Raw genomic sequence first — 19,353 nt, 5'->3', positions numbered from 1 at the left:
TACATACATGCCTGGCCTCAGCTGGAAGGGCTAGGGGCTGGTTATGCCCTGTCTTCTCATTTAGTGGCCTCGCCTGAGCTTTTTAACCTATCGGCTGATTCCAGAAACACAAAAGCAGAAACTACAAGTGTTCTTAAAGCCTTATAGTTCTTGTAGCTCTTAGGAGTACTAGAACATCACTTCTGCCTCATTTGATTGGCCAAAACAAGTCATGAGACCAGTTCAGGAGAAAATAGACCTCACCTCTTGATGGGGGAGGGGTGTACAGGGATAGAAGGATTGTTGGTGGCCACCTTTGGAAATGATCTACCACAAGAGTTGATTTCCATTTTCAACTTGGCTGCAAGTACTACGGTTTTCTTTCGGCGGGACACTGAGTAGGATACTGTGCTTGGTTCTCACTTCCAGGTGAATACTAAGAGTTCCTGATGGCATTGTAGTTCCCATAACTTTCTAATATGTTTTGCCGAAAAAGTCTACTGGAAGGGAAGTCCATAAACATTTTTAAGGCCTTCTCAAAACAGAGCTTTGACACTAGTTATCTAAGTTTCTCTTTTCTTTTCCTTTCTCTTATGCTTACCAGTCCCCCTCCCCCCACACCCCCAACCCCGAATCTATCTTAGTCTTGTAATAAAGTTAAGGAATTGTTATATTGTGAAATTCTACAAGTACACCTTTTCCAGTTACACGTATGCAAGTGTTGGGGGGCTGAGGGTAGAGGAAGAGAAGTCTTTTTTGAGTTATTTTAGGAGTAGCAGAGCAGGTGGTTTTGGCGACTTGATCTGGGCCTGGCTGTACCATTCACTGGTGCTCAAGGGGTACTAGTGACCACTGCCCTGCTTCAGATATGAAGTAGGTATCTGCCTTCATCAGGAATCTGGAGCTGAGCAATAGCTCCCAAGCAAATACAGGAGGTTTGAAAAATAATAAGGTTGGGTTTGTGAACATTGCCATTTTTTTCTGTGTGCTGAAGAACAGGCAGGGTTTAGTGATCACATAGCTTACAGGCAGGTGAAGAATTAGGAAGAATGGCTGTCAGATGAAAATATGGCATTTAGACATTCACAGCCTTTGGTTTTTTCCTGCCTGTGACAGGGTGTTCAGGAAAGGCCCAGGTTAATGAAGGAGAGAGAGAGGGAGGGGAAGTGGGAAGGAGAGGGAGAGAGAAGTGTAGTGGTTTGTAGCACAGACTTTGTGATATTTTGGGAAGTGACATATGGGATGATTTGTGGAAGAGAGAGTTAAGAGTAGCATGGTGAGAGAGTAACTTCTCAGATAGGATAGTGAAACATTTCTGGGAATTTTGGGATGCCTGAAAATGGGAGAGGAAAGAGGATTTTAGTAAGAGTTGTGCGCTCTATATCATTGGATCCCTTTATGTAGGGATTGGGGTTCCTGTTTGGATGGTGCTTCTTTAACAGCAGCACTTCTCAGGCCCACTGCTTTAATGACATTACCTACTTAGGGAATTTTGGACTCCAAATCTTCACTTGGGAACGTTGACTTTTTTGTGCTATTCTTATCTTCTTGCTTTTTTTCCCCCCCTCTTGGCAGTTTATAATGCAATTTGGGAAAATGTCAGTCTGCTTCCACTCTGCCATGGAAACACAAAGAAAAAGGTTTTCCCTGAATTGTTCAGCTAGAGAATGAAGGAAAGAGTATCCTGGAGGAAGGCGCAGAAGTAATCAAAATGAGAGAACAGAAAGCTGAATACAAAGCTCAGGGGTGAGAGGGTTGGCTTCTTACCAAGGTTATCATCACTTTGCTGCTGTTTAATTCCAGTCAAGGGCTTTTCTCTGCCTCTTTCTTGACCTGGTTCTATCTGACTACTGTTTTCTTATAGCAGTGGTTCTTAGCTGCAGCAGGGGAGGCCGCACGTAGTTTGGATAAGTTGCATGTGTGATGCTGATTGAGAAGGATTGTGCCAGGGGCTTCCCATCAAGTACTGAATGACACGTCAACTCTTGTATTAAACATTCAAGGATCTTAATGTGGCTCCCCAGACCATACCTCCCACTCACCTTCCAGCCGAACCTATTACTGTGGCTGGATCAGACTCTGACTTCAGGGCACCTCACACTCGTTTTCAGCCCTGCCGTTTAACACCAGTGTGATAGACTGTTCTCCATATGCCCTGCCTACAAAAGGTTTTGCCATTCCTCAAGGCCCCACTCAGGTCTTTCTTATTTTATGGAACCTTCCATAAATGCTCCAGCCACATTGATTGGATCTTGTTTCTGGAATGGCAGTTAAATGGGGCCAGCGATGGGGAAAGGAGGCTGTGAATGCAGGGAAATAAACAGATTATTTATATGGAAATCTGTCAATAGCTTCTTATATAGCTGAGTTAATCTAATGACATCAATGCTTTGGACAGAGGTTTCCAGTGGTACAAACAATTTTTTTCCTCAAAGAGTCTTCCGAAATCCCCTCCGCCCTCCTAGCACAACAGTTTGAATTTCTTAATGAAGGAAATGTGCGAATTGACCATGTGGCTACCACAACCAACACGTGATTTATCTCCACAAACTTGAAAATGCAAATCATGGAGATTGGCTGGGGTAAGCAGGAGGAGAGCAAAGATACCTCATCCAGAAGACAGAGGATCATCAAAGACTCACAGGCAAGTGAGTGAGATCATATATGTAAGAGCAAGTAATGTTAAGAGTCTATTCTTAGTAACACTTTGCTCAAATAATATCACAATGAGTTTGCAGATAGCTGCCTGATATTTCAATGTTTAGAGATACAATAATTTTCCTCCACTATTCCCCTTTGGATATTCAGGTTGTTTCTAGAGTTTTTGTTAGCATAAAGAACACTGTGGTGGACATCCTTACTCATATCCATTTGCATACTCTTTTCTATAGTTCATGGTCTCCCCCCAACCCACCCATCTAACTCCATGAATACAAGCAAGCTATTCAGGACTTCTTTAGGTCCATACCTGCTTAAAAAAATTCCCTATAGCTTCATAAATCCATCAATACCATGGTTGATCAACAAAAAATTGCAAACTTGACGAATTGACACTTACAGAGCCATCTTATTATAAATCCACTAAATGTTCTAGCATTTTGAAAATGTGCCAGGCTTATTTCAAGAAGTTAACTTGAAACTACTGGGCTAAATCAGGAGCGGGTGTGGGAAAGATGAGAAATAGCTGAGTAGGTGGAAAAAGTCAGAATGAAGTAGACAAAGGGCAATGGTTAATAGTAATTAGTAAATATCAAAAGCAAATAAGGATAAGGTATGCCTAATGATTGTGCTAGAGGTAGGGTGGGCAAAGTGAAAGTAAAGTATCCAGTTATTCTTCTAGGGCTGCTTAGTCAAGTTAACTGGAAGATATGACAATAGTTTGCTCTATGAGCTGAAATCATGAAGGCAAAGGCCAAAGATGAAAGTTGTGTTTAAAATTCCCATCAGCTGCGTGACTAACAGGGGATGAGTGATCAAATGAATCACCTTAGGCAGTTGAACAGCTTTACTTGTCAAAACCATTAGCCATGAACCTTTCTTAACACGAGGCAGTCACCTTCAGCAATCTGCTTTTCCAAAAGTAAAATAAGCCCCAGATGGCCACTTATTAACTTCAGCAAGACTTGACTCTTCTCACGTTGCCAGACAAAATTGATGGAAAATAGATAAAATCTTACTCCAGTTTATCAGTACAATAGCCTGTGGTTCTGGAATATGTGATATAAAAGATCTTGGACTATTGTTCTGGTATTTAGACATCAGGAGATCATACTGGGGTGGTCAGATATATCTATTTGTCCAACATCATTTCAGAATTTCTGGAACCATCAAATGAATAAAACTTCTTTACATAATATAAATAGTATATATTTTTTCTAATTATAAAATATTATGTGATTATTGAAAAAAGATAATAAAAGGTATAGCAAACTTCAAAGAAGCAGGATCATCCTCTACCCCACCATAATCAATCCAGTTGTCTGCACCATTTTGGGTGTTTTCTTCCTGTTTTTTAAAATGCATTTTTTAGAACATAGTTGAGATCATACAACATATAATGGATAAGATCTATATTCAATCTAAAGCTATTTTAATTTATCCACCTAAGAGCAACCATATATTATGAAAACTATGATCTGAAACAAAGAAATGGAATGTTTGACATAATCAGGCTAAATAAATAAATAAATAAATAAAAGCAGGCCAGTAACTCCTTGTTTTCTCTAACCATTAACTCATCCCTTTCCTTCCTCATTCTGTTTATTAAGTCTGGAATATCCCTGGCTCCTCTCTTCCCTCCAAAGTCTCCTCCTTGAATGTGCCTATCATATTGATTTTTCACTTCTCTATTGTCCACTAAATTTGAGAATTCATTTACATGTAGTCTTGCTTCTAATTTTTTGTTTAATGATTTATATGTCTTACCTCATCTTACTTTTTGAGGTCAGGGGACATTTATTATAGTTTTTATACCCATCCTAATAAGTAGCAAACAGCCAGGAACATAGTAGGAGCTGAAGAAATATCTAGGGTTGACACCAAAAGTGTTTTAACAAATAGTTGCATGGGGAGATGTAATAGTTGAATTATCCAGACCTGTGCAGACAAAAACTATAGCTGCAGTGTTCAAAATGGTAGCCACTAACCACATGACTGTTGAGCATGTGAATTGTGGCTAGCATAAATTGAGATGTGCTGTAAACATAAAGTACATTAGGCATTTCAAAGGCATAGTATACAAAAAAAGAATGTAAACTATCTCAGTATTTTTTATGTTGACTACTTGTTGAAATGATAATATTTTGAACATAATTGAATTACATAAAATGTATTATTAAAATGAATTTCACCTCTTTCTATCCTTTTCAGTGTGCTACTAGAAAATGTAAAATTACATCTGTGGCTTGCATTGTACATATATTTTGTTGGATGTTGCTGTCTTGTATGGCAATGAAATGTAATGTTCGAGATTATTCTTTCTACAGGGCAGAAATTCATTATATTTCTAGATACAGTGTATTTGCATTTCAATGGATAATAATTATTTGCTTTACTAACAGTTTTCTATAGCTTAACTTCTACCCTTACAGAGTTACAAAATAGCCTAAATAATAGGAAGACAATCAGTCAAAGGTACATACCTGGATAGAGCCAGACAATCCTGGGATGGTCATTTGGATAATATGCAAGCACTTCACTGAAAGGACACTCAGTAATCTTTTGCCCATTGCCAAGTCTTTGGCAATTTTTCCTAAAAGCATCTTTCCATATTCTTTTGTTACTGTCCCATGTGATTATGTAGGATCACGTTTTCTTTTCTAGTTAATATCGACAAACTATACTTGCAAAATTCATACTTCAGCCAGAAAACAATGTTTTAGGAACTATGACGTTCCTAATAATAAGGTTAAAAATGTTGGGAGTAAAATTAAAAAGAAAAAAAAATCATATAGAATAGAACCAAACTTGAATAAAGAATCATATAGAATAGAACCAAACACTTGAAATGATTGAAAAGATAGTGAAATTAATTGCATTTTGTCATTACTCCTTAGCTTATCATACTCTTGTCGAATGGGTGGAAACCATATTCTTTTCTACTATTTAATTAGCTGGAAACAAAGCCTGGCTATTGGTTGACTGGATCTAGTATAAATCCCCCCTCCCCCATTTTTGATTAATCAAATTGCCACTCCTTATTTATTTATTTAAATTAACAAATAATTGTGTATATGTTTATGGTGTATGGCATGAGGTTTGGAATTATGTCTACATTGTGTGGAATGGCTAAATTGAGCTAATTAACATATGCATTACCTTAAATATTTATTTGTGGTAAGAACACAAAATCTTAGCAATTTTCAAGTATATAATATATTGTTATTAACTACAGTCTCCATGTTGCACAATAGACCTCTTAACTTATTCCTTCTGTTTAACAAACTTTGTACTCTTTGACCAACATCTGCCCCGCCCACAGCCCCTGGTAACCACCATTCTATTCTCTGCTTCCATGAGTTCAACTTTATTAGATTCCACACATAAGTAAGATCATACGGTATTTGTCTTTGCTCTTTCTTTTAAAGGAAATAAATTCTTCTCCTTTTTAAGTCAAAGGACTTTTTTTGTGACTTTTGGGTCTGTTCACTCTGCTATGGAGATTAACAAATATTAATTAGTGGATGACTGCTAGGAAGTGAAACTCACAACCAATGAAGTGGTTAATTAAAGTTGAACTTTTTGATTGTCATTTCTAATATTTTTTATATTTTATATATATATATATATATATATATATACAAGTTTCTTTAAATTATTGATTTAAACACCTTAGTCCAAAAGAAGATTAAAAAATGGCTGAAAAGGGATTACAGAGATGACTTTTGTTTCAAATATTTTTAAAACATCCAAAATTTAAAGTAGATAACTATCCCTCAAAGTTAGCTGCTCCAAGCTTGATTTGACATTTGACGTTCCTGATGCTCTGGCTCAGATCAGAGCAGTTCCAAGAGGCTTGGTGGTGGCGATGGGGGTTCGGTGAGAAGTGGGGCAGGCAGGTCTAGATCCGGCCCCGCCCTTACCCCAGGACACCCCCTTTTCTGTGTGCTTTGGACTTCAGCGTCAGTTCTTCCGGCCCAGGGAGGCTATGGAATTGAGGGCAAGTGTTTGCATTATTGATGAGGGTACAAAGGACTCCAGAAGTTTTGAGGCTTTGCTTTTCCCCTTAGCCCTACAGGGTCAGGCTTTCATGCAGAAATTGGCCTGGAAATTCTCCACCGTTTTCATAGCTGCAATGTTTTTGAGGTGTTTTTTAGATAACAAAAAACTAAATACAATTCTCAAAGCTTATTTTGTTTACTTTTAGAGTACACAAAGCAATTTTGCAACAATTACAATTATATATATTCTACTTGCTACTAAGACTGTATAACATTGGTGGGGATAAGAGATTATATGTTTTTTCCTAAAAATATCTACTTAATGCACTCTTTTAATTTTTATTTTTATTTCAATAGTTTTGGGGGTACAGGTGGTTTTGGTTACATGGATACATTCTTTAGTGGTGATTTCTGAGACTTTTGCTCTCCCCATCACCCAAGCAGTGTACACGGTACCCAATATGTAGTCTTTTATCTCTCACCCCCTCCTAACTTCCCCCTCCACAGTCCCCAAAGTCCATTATATCATTCTTATGCCTTTGCATCCTCATAGCTTAGCACCCACTTATAAGTGAGAACATACGATATTTGGTTTTCCATTTCTGAGTTATTCCACTTAGGATAATGGCCTCCACTCCATCCAAGTTGCTGCAAAAGACATTATTTTATTCCTTTTTATGGCTGAGTAGTATTCCATGGTGTATATATACCACATTTTCTTTATCCACTTGTTGGTTGATGGGCACTTAGGTTGGTTCCATATCTGCAATTGCGAATTGAATGCATTCCTTTTAATAGTTAGTTTTGCTGTCAATCTCTTTTCCTGTTTAATTATTTGAACTATTGGACCCTGAGGATCTGCCCCTGAACATCTCCTGAGAAGTGCTCCAGCAGAGCGAAATCTTGAAAGTCATTCATGAAAACGTTGTTAAGAAGTGGCTTGAGCCCTTCTCTGAGCTGGCAGAAGTGAAGGAGAATTACAAGAAATTCTATGAGGCATTCTCTAAAAATCTAAACCTTGGGATCCATGAGGACTCCACCAACCAGGGACGTCTGTCTGAGCTGCTGTGCTATCACACCTCCCAGTCTGAAGATGAGATGACATCTCTGTCAGAGTATCTCTCTCACATGAAGGAGGCACAGAAGTCCATCTATTACATCACTGGTGAGAGCAAAGAGCAGGTAGACACCTCTCAAAGCGGGGCTTCGAGGTGTTATATTAGACCAAGCTCACTGATGAGTACTGCGTGCAGCTGGTCAAGGAGTTTGATAAGAAAAGCCTGGTCTCTATTACCTCAGGTCGAGCTACCTGAGGATGAGAGGAGAAGAAGAAAATGGAGGAGAGCAAGGCAAAGTTTGAGAACCTCTGCAAGCTTATGAAAGAAATCTTAGATAAGAAGGTTGAGAAGGTGACAGCCTCCAATAGGCTTGTGTCTTCACCCTGCTGCATTGTGATCAGCACCCTATGGCTGGACAGCCAATATGGAGTGAATCAAGAAAGCTCAGACACTTGGAGACAACTCTCTAATGGGCTACATGGTGGCCAAAAAGCGCGTGGAGATCAACCCGACCACCCCATTGTGGAGATGCTGCAGCAGAAGGCTGAGACAGACAAGAACAGCAAAGCTGTCAAGGACCTGGTGGTGCTGCTGTTTGAAACTGCTCTGTTTTCTTCTGGCTTCTCCCTTGAGGATCCCCAGACCCTCCACCTGCATCTACCACATGATCAAGCTAGGTATAGGTATTGATGAAGATGAAGTGACAACAGAGGAACCCAGTGCTGTTGTTTCTGATGAGATACCCCTGCTTGAGGGTGAGGAGAATGGGTCTTACATGGAAGAAGTAGACTAGGAGTTTATATTTGGAAACCTTGTGCCCTTGTATAGTGTCCCCATGGTTCCTTGAGTGGCTCTGTCCCGCGGCCTTGAGTGGCCTTATCCCACCTGGCTCCCTCTGCTGATGTCTAGTGTTTTTTCTGTCCTGTCCGTGTGTCTAAGGCAGGAAACAAGAGCCTTAAGCCCCATTCTCTTTCTACTTTTATAACAGGATATTGGATGTTGTGTATTGTGCTTTTTTGTTTATTTTGTTCTGAAATGAAAGTATACCAAATAAAGCAGATGCCGTTTTTATGTGGGAAAAAAAAAAACACTTGCCTGTTCTGTGTTTTGATTTTCTTGATAGTAACATTTGCAGCACAAGCATTTTTAATTTTGGTGAAGTCCAATTTATCTATTTTTTCTTTTGTCACTTGTGCTTTTGGTTGTGCTTCGACCTTGTCAGATCTAAGGAGCCATTGTCTAATCAAGTAATTAGCTTTCAGTGTCTCCTGAGAATAAGGGCCATAGAAGAGGCTGAGTAAAGACTTGCAACAATGATATGTAATTGCATGTGCATTTTTAAAAATAGACTATTTTTAGAGCAATTTTCATTTTACAGCAAAATTAAGCAGAAAGCATAGAATTTCATATGTCCCCTTCCCCTGTACCACATCTGGCCTCCTCCATTACCAACATCCCACACCACAGTGGTTCATTTGTTACAATTGATGAACCTACGTTGACATGTCGTTATCATCCAAAGTGCAGTTTGCATCAGGGTTCACTCTTAGTGGTGCACATTCTATGGGTTTGGACAAATGTATAATGATATGGATCCACCATTACAGTATCATACAGAATACTTTCACATTCCTATACATCCTCTGTGCTTTGCCTATTCATCCCTCCCTCTTCCCAACCCCTGGAGAAAACTGACCTTTTTACCATCTCCATAGTTTCACCTTTTCCAAAATGTCATATAGTTAGAACCATACAGTATGTAGACTTTTCAGATTGGCTTCTTTCACTTAGTAATATGTATTTAAGGTTCTTTCCTGTCTTTTCATAGCTTGATAGCTCATTTCTTTTTAGCATTGAAAGATATTTCATTGTCTGGATGTACCACCATTTATCCAGGTACTGAAGGACATCTTGGTTGCTTCCAAATTTTGGCAATTATGAAGAAGGCTGCTATAAACATCTGTATGTAGGTTTTTGTGAAGACATAAATTTTCTACTTGTTTGGGTAAATACCAAAGAGCATGATTGCTGGATTGTATGGTAAGAGTATGTTTAGTTTTGCAAGAAACTGCTGAACTGTCTTCCAAGGTGGCTGTACCATATTGTAGTCCCACTAGTAATGAATGAGAGCTCTTGTTGCTCCACATTCTTGCCAGCATTTGGTGTTATCAGTGTTTTGGATTTTCACCATTCTAATAGGTATGTAGTGCTATTTCATTGTTGTTTTAATTTGCATTTTCTTGATGACAGATGATATGGAGCATGTTTTCATATGTTTATTTGCCATCTTCATATCTTCTTTGGTGAGATGTCTGTTCAGATCTTTTGCCCATTTTTTAAACTGGATTGTTCATTTTCCATATTGCGGGGTTTTAAGAGTTCTTTGTGTATTTTGGATTATAGTTCTTTATCAGATCTGTCTTTTGCAAACATTTTCTCCTAGTTTGTGGCTTGTCCTCTCATTCTCTTGAAGTGATTGTATTTCCTTGAATTATTCACTTCACATTCACTTACTGAGCATCTTCTATGGTCTAGGTTCTCCGCAAGGCTCTGGGTATATAAAAGTGATTAAGACATAACCTTGCTTTTAGACACTTTTAGTGTGATGAAGGAGAAGGATGAGTAAATAGGTGATTAGAACACTCTTCTAAGTAAGCAGTCTCAGGCTTCTTGGAAGAGGAGTGTAAGACATAAAGAAAAAGGATATTGACAACAAGCACAGGTGGGCAGAGCCTTCTGGGTGAAGGGAACACTACATCACAATGACATAAGTAAGTTCTTGTCAATATGATCATTAGCTATTATTGCTATGGTAATAGTGTGTCTAGGCTAGAAGTAGGCAAACTATGGCTGTGGGCCAAATCTGGCTGGCCATCTGCTCTTGTAAATAAAGTTTCATTGGAATACATTCATGTCCATTTATACACATATTTTCTGTAGCCACTTTTGTGCTACAAGTAGTTGCAAAAGAGACAGTCTTGCTTGCAAAGCCTCAACTATTACTCCCAGGCCCTTTACAGGTGGGGCTCAGACTGGAGGGGCAAAGATAGACTGCTGCTTTAGTGAGATGCTTTAGTGATTTTTCCGCGGCAAAACCACATGGCAAAAGTCATGGACAGGTGGAGAATTGATTCCAATCACATGTCTGAGGGCATGGCAAGCTACACATATTTTTCAGGAGCAGCAGAAGTTTCATTCATGGCTGGTCAAAATTAATATCTGTTAAATGACAGCGACTTTCTCCCCATTTCCTGTGTCTAAGAGGAACTACACTGTAAAAAACTCCTGGCAGGCAGCTCTGACATTTTTCTTTTTTCAGCAAGGTAAACAGATGTAGATCACTTTCTTTCTGATTGTCCCAGAATAATTTGAGATGAGAAAAGAAGACATGACCTGGGGCACTTAAAGACAGGTTGCTTTTCACTAACAAAGCTGGAAGACTTTTTGAGCTCTTCTAAATTATAAGTTTATTATAGCTGGAAAGACTTTCTTTTCAGATAAAGATAAAGAGGGCATCTCAATTTCTTTGTGAGATATGATTAGCTTCCTGGAAATCCTGTCTATATAGCTCACTCGTGATGCTTACTTTTTAGGTGTTATCTACTTACATGGTATTTTTCATTTCTCCCTTAACATCAGTGTGCTGGGAAAAAAGTACACCCACACGCATAATTTACGTATATAATTGTATAAGTGCATATATATATATATCTCCATTTGTCCTGAGACTGGGCCAGGTTGTGAGGCTGTGAAGTATGAGGTTGGTAGAAACTACCTTTGAGGGGTCTTTCAGTTTTCCTTTGATCTGTCTTTTAACCAGCCCCCGATCCTGCTTTCTGCTCCCTAACTAATTTCTTCTCCCATAACTCCCCACCCCTTCCTGGGCACGGGGGTCTTTTGGGCTTGTCACCTCTCTGGAAAGTGCACTGTGTGATAAGCACATTTGTACTGACATGTTAGTAAGTTTATGGCTTTTCAAGTGGGACATGAGAAGTGGGCACGACTCAACCAAAGGAAAAAAATACTCTGATAATTGAACTGTAGACAACAGCACAGAAGAGGTATTATGTTTATATTGGGGATTTTCCTAGCACCTCTCCCTTTATATTATATCACATAAATGATTACCCCCTTCATCAAACAGAACCTGCCCTTGGGCTGGGCATGGTGGCTCACACCTGTAATCCCAGCACTTTGGGAGGCCAGGGTAGGGGGAGGATCACCTGAGGCCAGGAGTTCAAGGCCAGCCTCGGCAACATAGTTTTAAGACCCCATCTCTAAAAAAAAAAAAAAAAAAAAAAATTACCCAGGCATGGTGGTGCATGCTTGTAGTCTCAGCTACACTGGAGGCTGAGGCAGGAGGATCACTTGATCCCGGGAGGTCGAGGGTGCAGTGAGCTGTGTTTGTGCCACTGTACTCCAGCCTGGGTGACAGAGCGAGACTCCGTCTCAAAAAAAAAAAAAAAAAAAAAGAACCTGCCCTTGTTTTATCAGTATTATTTTGGTATTTACATAAAATATTAATTGATTATATTATATTGTTATCATCATCATCATCATCTAAGCTTGAATTTATTAGGCCTGGAGGGTAAACCATTCTAGGACTCTAACTCCTTAGTGGAAATTATAGCTCCTTAATGACAGCTACAAGATGTCATGACCCAACAAACCCAGTGTATGGTGCAAGAGCAGAAGCAACCCTCTATGACATATGCTGGAGAGATATTATGATTTATTATTTCCATTTTACAGGGGAAAGTCGAGGCTTAGAGAATATAAATGCCACACCCAAGTTCATATGGCTACTTGAGGAAAGGAGGAGGAGTAGGATCTGATCTCTTTTCACTCCAAGCCTGGGACTCTTTCTTATAGCAGGACCTCAGAACCTCACACAGCTTCTTCAGGGTTTCACTAAAGCGTTTCAACCTAGGTTGCCCTGCCCAGGAACCAAGCGGAACAGGTGGCTTGCTTGCAGGGAGTCTAAAGAACCCGGCACGATCTGCCCCCAGCAGTTCAGTTGGTGGGATCAGACTTGCCTCAGTAACAAATTCTGGCCCCTAGTGGTGAGATGATTTGGGGCTGACTTTTGCCGAAGGTTGGGGCACTGAGGGAATTGTATGTCCCTCTGGGGCTTGCAAAGGAACCAGAGTTCTTTTGAACAGCTGCATCACAACTAGGTAGCAGTGCTGCCCTCCCAGACCAGGACACCAGGGGCCCCTGCCCTGGGCCCCACACCTTATAAGACCCCATACACCACAAGCAATGAAAGACAATGACTTTTGGAATGTTTTTGAACTCATAAAATTTGAAATGTTTTAAAGTTTGATGAATTTTTAATGTTTTTAAAGACGTTTTTATAAGTGCGATAACTGATTAAGTTACTGGGAATTACGGGAGAGAGATGTACTCTCCTAGGCCTCCCAGGTCAGAGGATTCTGGGCTGAGAACCTGTAAGTGTGTGTGTGTGTGTGTGTGTGCGCGTGTGTGTGCACGCGTGCGTGCATGGTGGAGGGTGGGGAGACAGCTTCCACTCCAGGAAACCAGAGGAAGATTGGCTGCTTTCATTTGAAGATGGCCATTCTAGTCTGGCACAGTGTGGTACACCTGTAGATCCAGCTACTCTCTTGAGCCCAGGAGTTTGAGGCTGCAGTGAGTTATGATCAGCCATTGGACTCCAGCCTGGGTGACAGAGTGAGACTCCATCTCTAAAAAAAAATGAAAATTAAAATTAAGAAAAAAACACATTAAGTTGGCTGTTCTAAATCACCCAACGTGGGTGATTAGGCAGATGGGGTGCCCCAAATAACTGTTCCCTCCTCCCCCTCTGCTTGGGTGGTGGTGTTTTGGAAAATGCTTAGAACTGCCTGGAAATCTTGAGCTGTGAAAGTGTCCTTCCCAGCTCCTTGGGGAGCTTGACTTGGTCGGTCTAGGGGCGGATCCAGTCACCCTGACACTGCCTAGGCATCCTTGACTTGGGTCCAGCTTCCACCATGCCCTGTCCCACAAGACCCATTCTGGTATTTAGACTCACAGACACAGCTGACCTTGGGGTAAACTTAGGTTTCTTTAGCCTATCCAAGGGAATGATGGTCCCCAGGGGTGTGGGGTGCTGGGTGGGAAGGTATGCCAAGCTGTTGGTGTAGCTTGATTTGTAAATTCTATATCTTTAGACTACGGTATGTGAGACTGCATTCATATGCTTGCTCCAGGCTCTGCAAATGTTACTTTGCAAAGCTGTTGTAGTAGCTTTGCAGGTTTTATGATCTTTGCAATAATGTTTTGAACCCCTTATCTGGGATACCTTCTATTATGGGTTGAACTGGGTCCCCCCAAAAGATAGGTTGAAGTCCTAATCCCTAGTACCTGTGACTATGACCTTTTTTTGGAAATAGAGTCTTTGCAGATGTAATCAAGGTAAAATGGGTCATTAGGGTGAGCCCTAATTCAATGCGACTGATGTCTTTATAAGAAGAGAAAAACACCATGTGAAGACAGAAGACACACGGTGAAGAAATGACCACGTGGAGATAGGGCAGAGATTGGAGTGATACTGACACAAGCCAAGGAATGCCTAGGGTGACCAGAAACTGGAAGAGGCAAGGAAGGATCCTCCCTACAGACTTGGGAGGGAGTATGGCTCTGACAACACCTTGATTTTGGACTTCTGACGTGCAGAACTGGGAGAGAAAAAATTTCTGTTGCTTAAATCCACCAAATTTGCGGTACTTTGTTATAGCAGACCTAGAAAATGAATACACTCATTCAAAGATGTTTCTGTCTGTGGCTTTAAAGAGCAGGATTGGGATGAGAGTACGGTTCTTGCAGTGCTCAGTTCTAACGTCATAGAGATAGCAAATTTTTAACTCTCCTGAGTTAAAGTGACCGTGACATTGTGTACTGACACTAAACATTCAGTTTTAAATTCAGAATCGGAACAGATGTGATAACTAATTAAAAACCCAGGGTGGCATTTTTTCCTTGTGGTATCAAATTAATTCACTTTTATAGAAATATGCTGATGATTTACCTTTCCAAGGGGAAGTTGTTAAACTTCCTTGGGCGAACAGATTTCTTTAGCATAGAAGGTTACAGGCTGATGTTACAGACTTTGAAACTGTCAACCAAGGCAATGTGTCTCTGTATTCGCATCTATTGCCTCCAGAACATATGAATGTTTAAAGAAGATTAAAAAAATTCCAATTGAGCCCCTCCGAAGTCATTTTCAATTCTAGGAAATGGAAATGCAGCTTACATCTGTATTTCCCAAGGAATTGATGTAATGCAATTTGTATAAAATAATCATAGAGAGTTAGAGCAGAGAGTGGATCTTTGCATTAAAGTGAAATCAGCCCAGAAATCGCTCTTCTCAGGGTCTGTCTTTCAGAACCCCATTTAGCTTTTAAATAAGACTCCTCTTTCCTGACTTGCTTTGATGAGCCACTCTCATCTCAGTGATTGCTCCTGACATTTAGCTGCCTGTACGATTAACTGGGGGCCATTCTTTTCTCTTGGAGAAGGACCATGTGCAGTGAATATGCATTTGCAAAGTGTTTCTTTGACTTGGGAGAGTGGCTGTGGATAAGTAGATAGGATGATGCCTGGAGTAAAGTTTGTGATGGAGACCCCAAACACTCACCCTTAGCAAAGCTGTGAGTGGCTATCATCAGCACATACCCGCTCCACCTCCCTTGCAGTCCCCAATTAAAGCTCATTGAGTTACCAGGTAAGCTGGTGATTTCTTATCTCAAGGAATGAAAAATTAAATCTAATAAACTTCTCTGAGGATTGAGAACTCCATATGTCGCCCCTACAGGTGATTTAAAAAAAAAACCAAGGAAATGACTCACAAAAAGGATTGAAATTTTTACAATGAGATTACAGATATCCGGATGGGAGATATTTGTTCCCCTTGGCATGACTGTGCCTGGGCCAAAGCCTGGGCCAGCAGGTAGAACAGTCAGGGATGGAATAGATCAATGAGACTGTAGCAGAGAAAAACGGCTGCCTACCAAAGATTCTGCTGTTCTTTCTAGCATAGCACTATAGTTGGGGCTACGTTCCCCAGATTGCTTTACAAAGCAATGGGGCTACATAACATTTTATTGCCATGGCCTGTGAGTGGAAGGGTTGTGTATCACTCTTGGTTGGAGGTGACTGAGAAGCAAGTGTACCTTCTCCCTCACTTTCCTCATCTACTGACAATCTTTAGAGGACTCCCAGTCCCTGGGAAGGTGGAGCCATGAGATGGAAGGAGCCTGTCTCTGAATCACTACAAGGAGGGAAACTGCCCTGAGCTATTTTGAGAGCCGCAAATGAAGTTTGATTGACCTGACTCATTGCATTCTTTGAGCTCCTTAGCTCTTATCACTACCTAGTATGCTGTGTATTGTTGTTTATTTCTTTTTCACTAGTATGTAAGCCTCAGGAGGGCAGAGATTTTGGTTTGTCTCACTCGCTGCTGTATCCCAGGGTCGAGAACACTGTCTGGCACTGAGTAAGTGCTTGATAATGTTTGTTGAATGAATAAATGAGAGGATAAATGCAAGGAATATAGTTGTGATATGATGGAATTTGGAGGGGTTTTTTTTCTTTTTTTTTTTTCTGAGACAGGGTCTTACTCTGTCACCCAGGCTGGAGTGCAGCGGAGCAATCACTGCTCACTGCAGCCTCGACGTTTCGAGCTCAAGCTATCCTTCTGCCTGTCTCCTGAGTAGATAGGACTACAGGCACACACCACCATGCCCAGCTAGTTTTTAAATTTTTTTGTAGAGATGGGGCGGTGGGGGGCGGAGGGGGTCTCCCTATGTTGCCCAGGCTGGTCTTGAACTCCTGGACTCAAGCAATCCTTCTGCCTTGGCCTCCCAAAGTACTGGGATTACAGGTGTGAGCCACTTCGCCTGGCTGGAAATGTTAATTCTGGTTTCACCAGATACCACAATCTTGAATTTTTTTCAAGGCTGTTTTAGACATTTTTTTTTTTTTGTGGAGAAATGAGATGTAATTGCAGTTTGCAATCATTTACTCAGAATTACATTTTGAGAATCTGCATTAGTTATCTTTTGCTGTGAAATAAATTACCTCCAAATTTGTGGCTTACAACAACAAAAATTTATTAATTTTATAGTTTCTGAGGGTCGGGAATCTGAGAGTGGTTTGGCTGATGGTTCTGGCTCCAGGTCTCTCATGAGGTTGCAGCCAACCTGTTGGCTGGGGTTGTAGTCATCTGGAAACTTGGCTGGGGCTGGAGAATTTGCTTCCAAGATGGTGCATTCACATGGCTCTTGTCAGGAGGTGTTAGATCCTCATGACCATTGGCTGGAGGTCTCCCTCAGCTCCTTACAATGTGTTCCCCTCCATAGGCCAGCTCACAATATGGCAGAGGGCTTCCCCCAGAGCAAGTGATCCAAGAGAGGGCTAGAGGTGACGTGACCAAGATGGAAGCCACAGTACCTTTTTATGACCTAATCCCCAAACTCACCACCCACAGTCACTTCAGCCACATTCTATTTGTTAGAGGTGAGTCACCAAGTCCAGCCCAGGCTAAAGACGAGAGTTAGGCTTTACCTCTTGAAGGGAGGCATATCAAAGGTTTTGTGGACTATCAAAGGTTTTGTGGACATTAAAAAAAAAAAAACTACCATGAAAACTTATTCCAAGGTTGCCGTTTTTAACAGACAACAGTCATTGAAGCATGTGCTCAATACCAATTATATTTAGTGTTCAAATAAGACTGTAGACATATTTATTTTAATGTACTTTTCAGATTGATATTCATAGGGCATAGAAATTCACAGGGCAGTTTTCTTAAGTCAATGAGCAACTTTCTTATGTCATGAGTCAGATGTGACACTGCCAAATTCACAACTAAGTCCACTGGGAGTTAACAGGAAAGAAGATGGAGAACCTATCATATTTGTTATTTTTTAGTTCGTGATATGTAGCTAAGTGTTCATCCTATCCTGCCCTTTCCTTCTCTGCCTTCTCTTCTTGAGTAGAGAGCGGACTGAAATGGTCAAATACACTTCATCTCTGATTCATGTCTTCCAATTCTTTTGTTCCTCTACCTGACAAATGTATCTGTTCTTTTCTAACAGTTGAACAGTTCTATGAGGACACAAGCATGGTGTGTACCTTCCTGTAATAATAGTTTTCTATTTGGAATATAAGAAAATATAATTTTTTTTTAAATAAACATTTTGTATATTTGAATCCTCATTAGTAATAATAATTATTATATCAAAATGCCAGTAATTTATTAGGGTTTAGAACATCAAATTTCTAATAGATCACATTGAAAAGATTAAGTATAAAGTTAATGGAGAGGATCATGGGAATGTGGGGTACATGTTTTGGAAATGTACTTTTTTTTAAATACAGAAAGACACTGCTTTAATTGATCATTTGCTAATGAAGGAGCTCGATTTAGAGAGGCATATGTGCATCCTCTAAAATACATGCACTGAAAGAAAACAATTATGTTGTGAGCCTCCATGTACTTCATTGTCCTGATAATTACTTTCGATTAACAAAACTATGGGTGCAGGCTTTGGGAGTTCAATAAAGAACCCACCATTGCAGAGCATTTTCACTGACAATGTGACATTCGACACTCACAACAACTCTGCAAGATACATATCACTGCCGACAATTTACATATTCAGGAACCTAAGATTGGAAGTTAATGACTTGGCTAGGACCATGTACCTAGCAAGTGGCAGACTGGTGTTTTTTTGGGGGGGAGGGGGGAGATTTTAAAAATTCAAATTGGTAATAACACGTTGACATAGTTCAAAAACTAAAAAAATGTTTTAAAAATACAGACTGATAAGCTTTCTCCTCGTTTGCTTCTTCTTGGTTCCTTCTTGCCTCCTATGTAACTCCTTTCATCAGGTTTTAGAAAGAATCTTGCCAAATACATGCAAGTATGAATACGGTTTGTAATTTCCCCCCTTCTTACACACAAGAGTATATGATATACAATGCTGTTCACCTTGTTTTTTCCACCTACCATTATTTCCTGGAATTCTCTGTGTAGCATTAGGTGGACATCTCCCTCATTCTCTTTTTATAGCTGCACAGTTTTCATTGTTTTTTCTTTTCCTTCCTTCCTTTTTTTTTCAGGGTCTTGCCTTGTCACTCAGGCTGGAGTGCAGTGGTGCAAACATGGCTCACTGCATCCTTCACCTCGTGGGCTCAAGTGATCCTTCCGCCTCAGCGCCCCCAAGTAGCTGAGACTATAGGCGCAAGTCACCATGCCTGGCTAATTTCTATATTTTTTGGAGAGACAGGGTCTCCCTACGTTACCCAGGCTGGTCTTGAATTCTTGGGCTCAAACAATCTGCCTGCCTTGGCCTCCCCAAATGTTGGGATTATAGATGTGAGCCACCACGCCCAGCCCATCGTTTTTCTTTGCATGATGTGCCATGGCTTATTCAACCAGTCCCCTTTTGATGAATACTTAGGTTATTCTCATTCTTTTGCTGTTTAAAGCCCTGCTGCGATAAGTAATGTTATAGACATGTTATTTTGGGCATAAGCAGTTGGATCTGGAGGCTAGCTGCCCAGAAATGGAGTGAACTGGGTTTTGAACCCATGACTGAATGATGTAGCGGCTCTCTCCCCACACAGCCCATGTGTGCTCACTCTTTTCTTAGCTG

General features: G+C 40.4%; 1 pseudogene, besides 1 other annotated feature; it reads left to right on the top strand.

The window, feature by feature from the left end:
* Nucleotides 7,485–8,686, top strand: LOC100132857 (heat shock protein 90 alpha family class B member 1 pseudogene; annotated as a pseudogene).
* Nucleotides 17,906–18,557: an enhancer, noted in NCBI's record as "OCT4-NANOG hESC enhancer chrX:16482397-16483048 (GRCh37/hg19 assembly coordinates)". NCBI's record gives its function as "activates a minimal SCP1, AML or CMV promoter by ChIP-STARR-seq in naive H9 embryonic stem cells {active_cell/tissue: H9 hESC(naive)}" and the evidence as "EXISTENCE:reporter gene assay evidence [ECO:0000049][PMID:30033119]".

This window comes from Homo sapiens, chromosome X (genome assembly GCF_000001405.40).
Source record: "Homo sapiens chromosome X, GRCh38.p14 Primary Assembly".
Lineage (NCBI taxonomy): Eukaryota > Metazoa > Chordata > Mammalia > Primates > Hominidae > Homo > Homo sapiens.
This window is presented reverse-complemented; position numbering and strand designations above follow the sequence as displayed.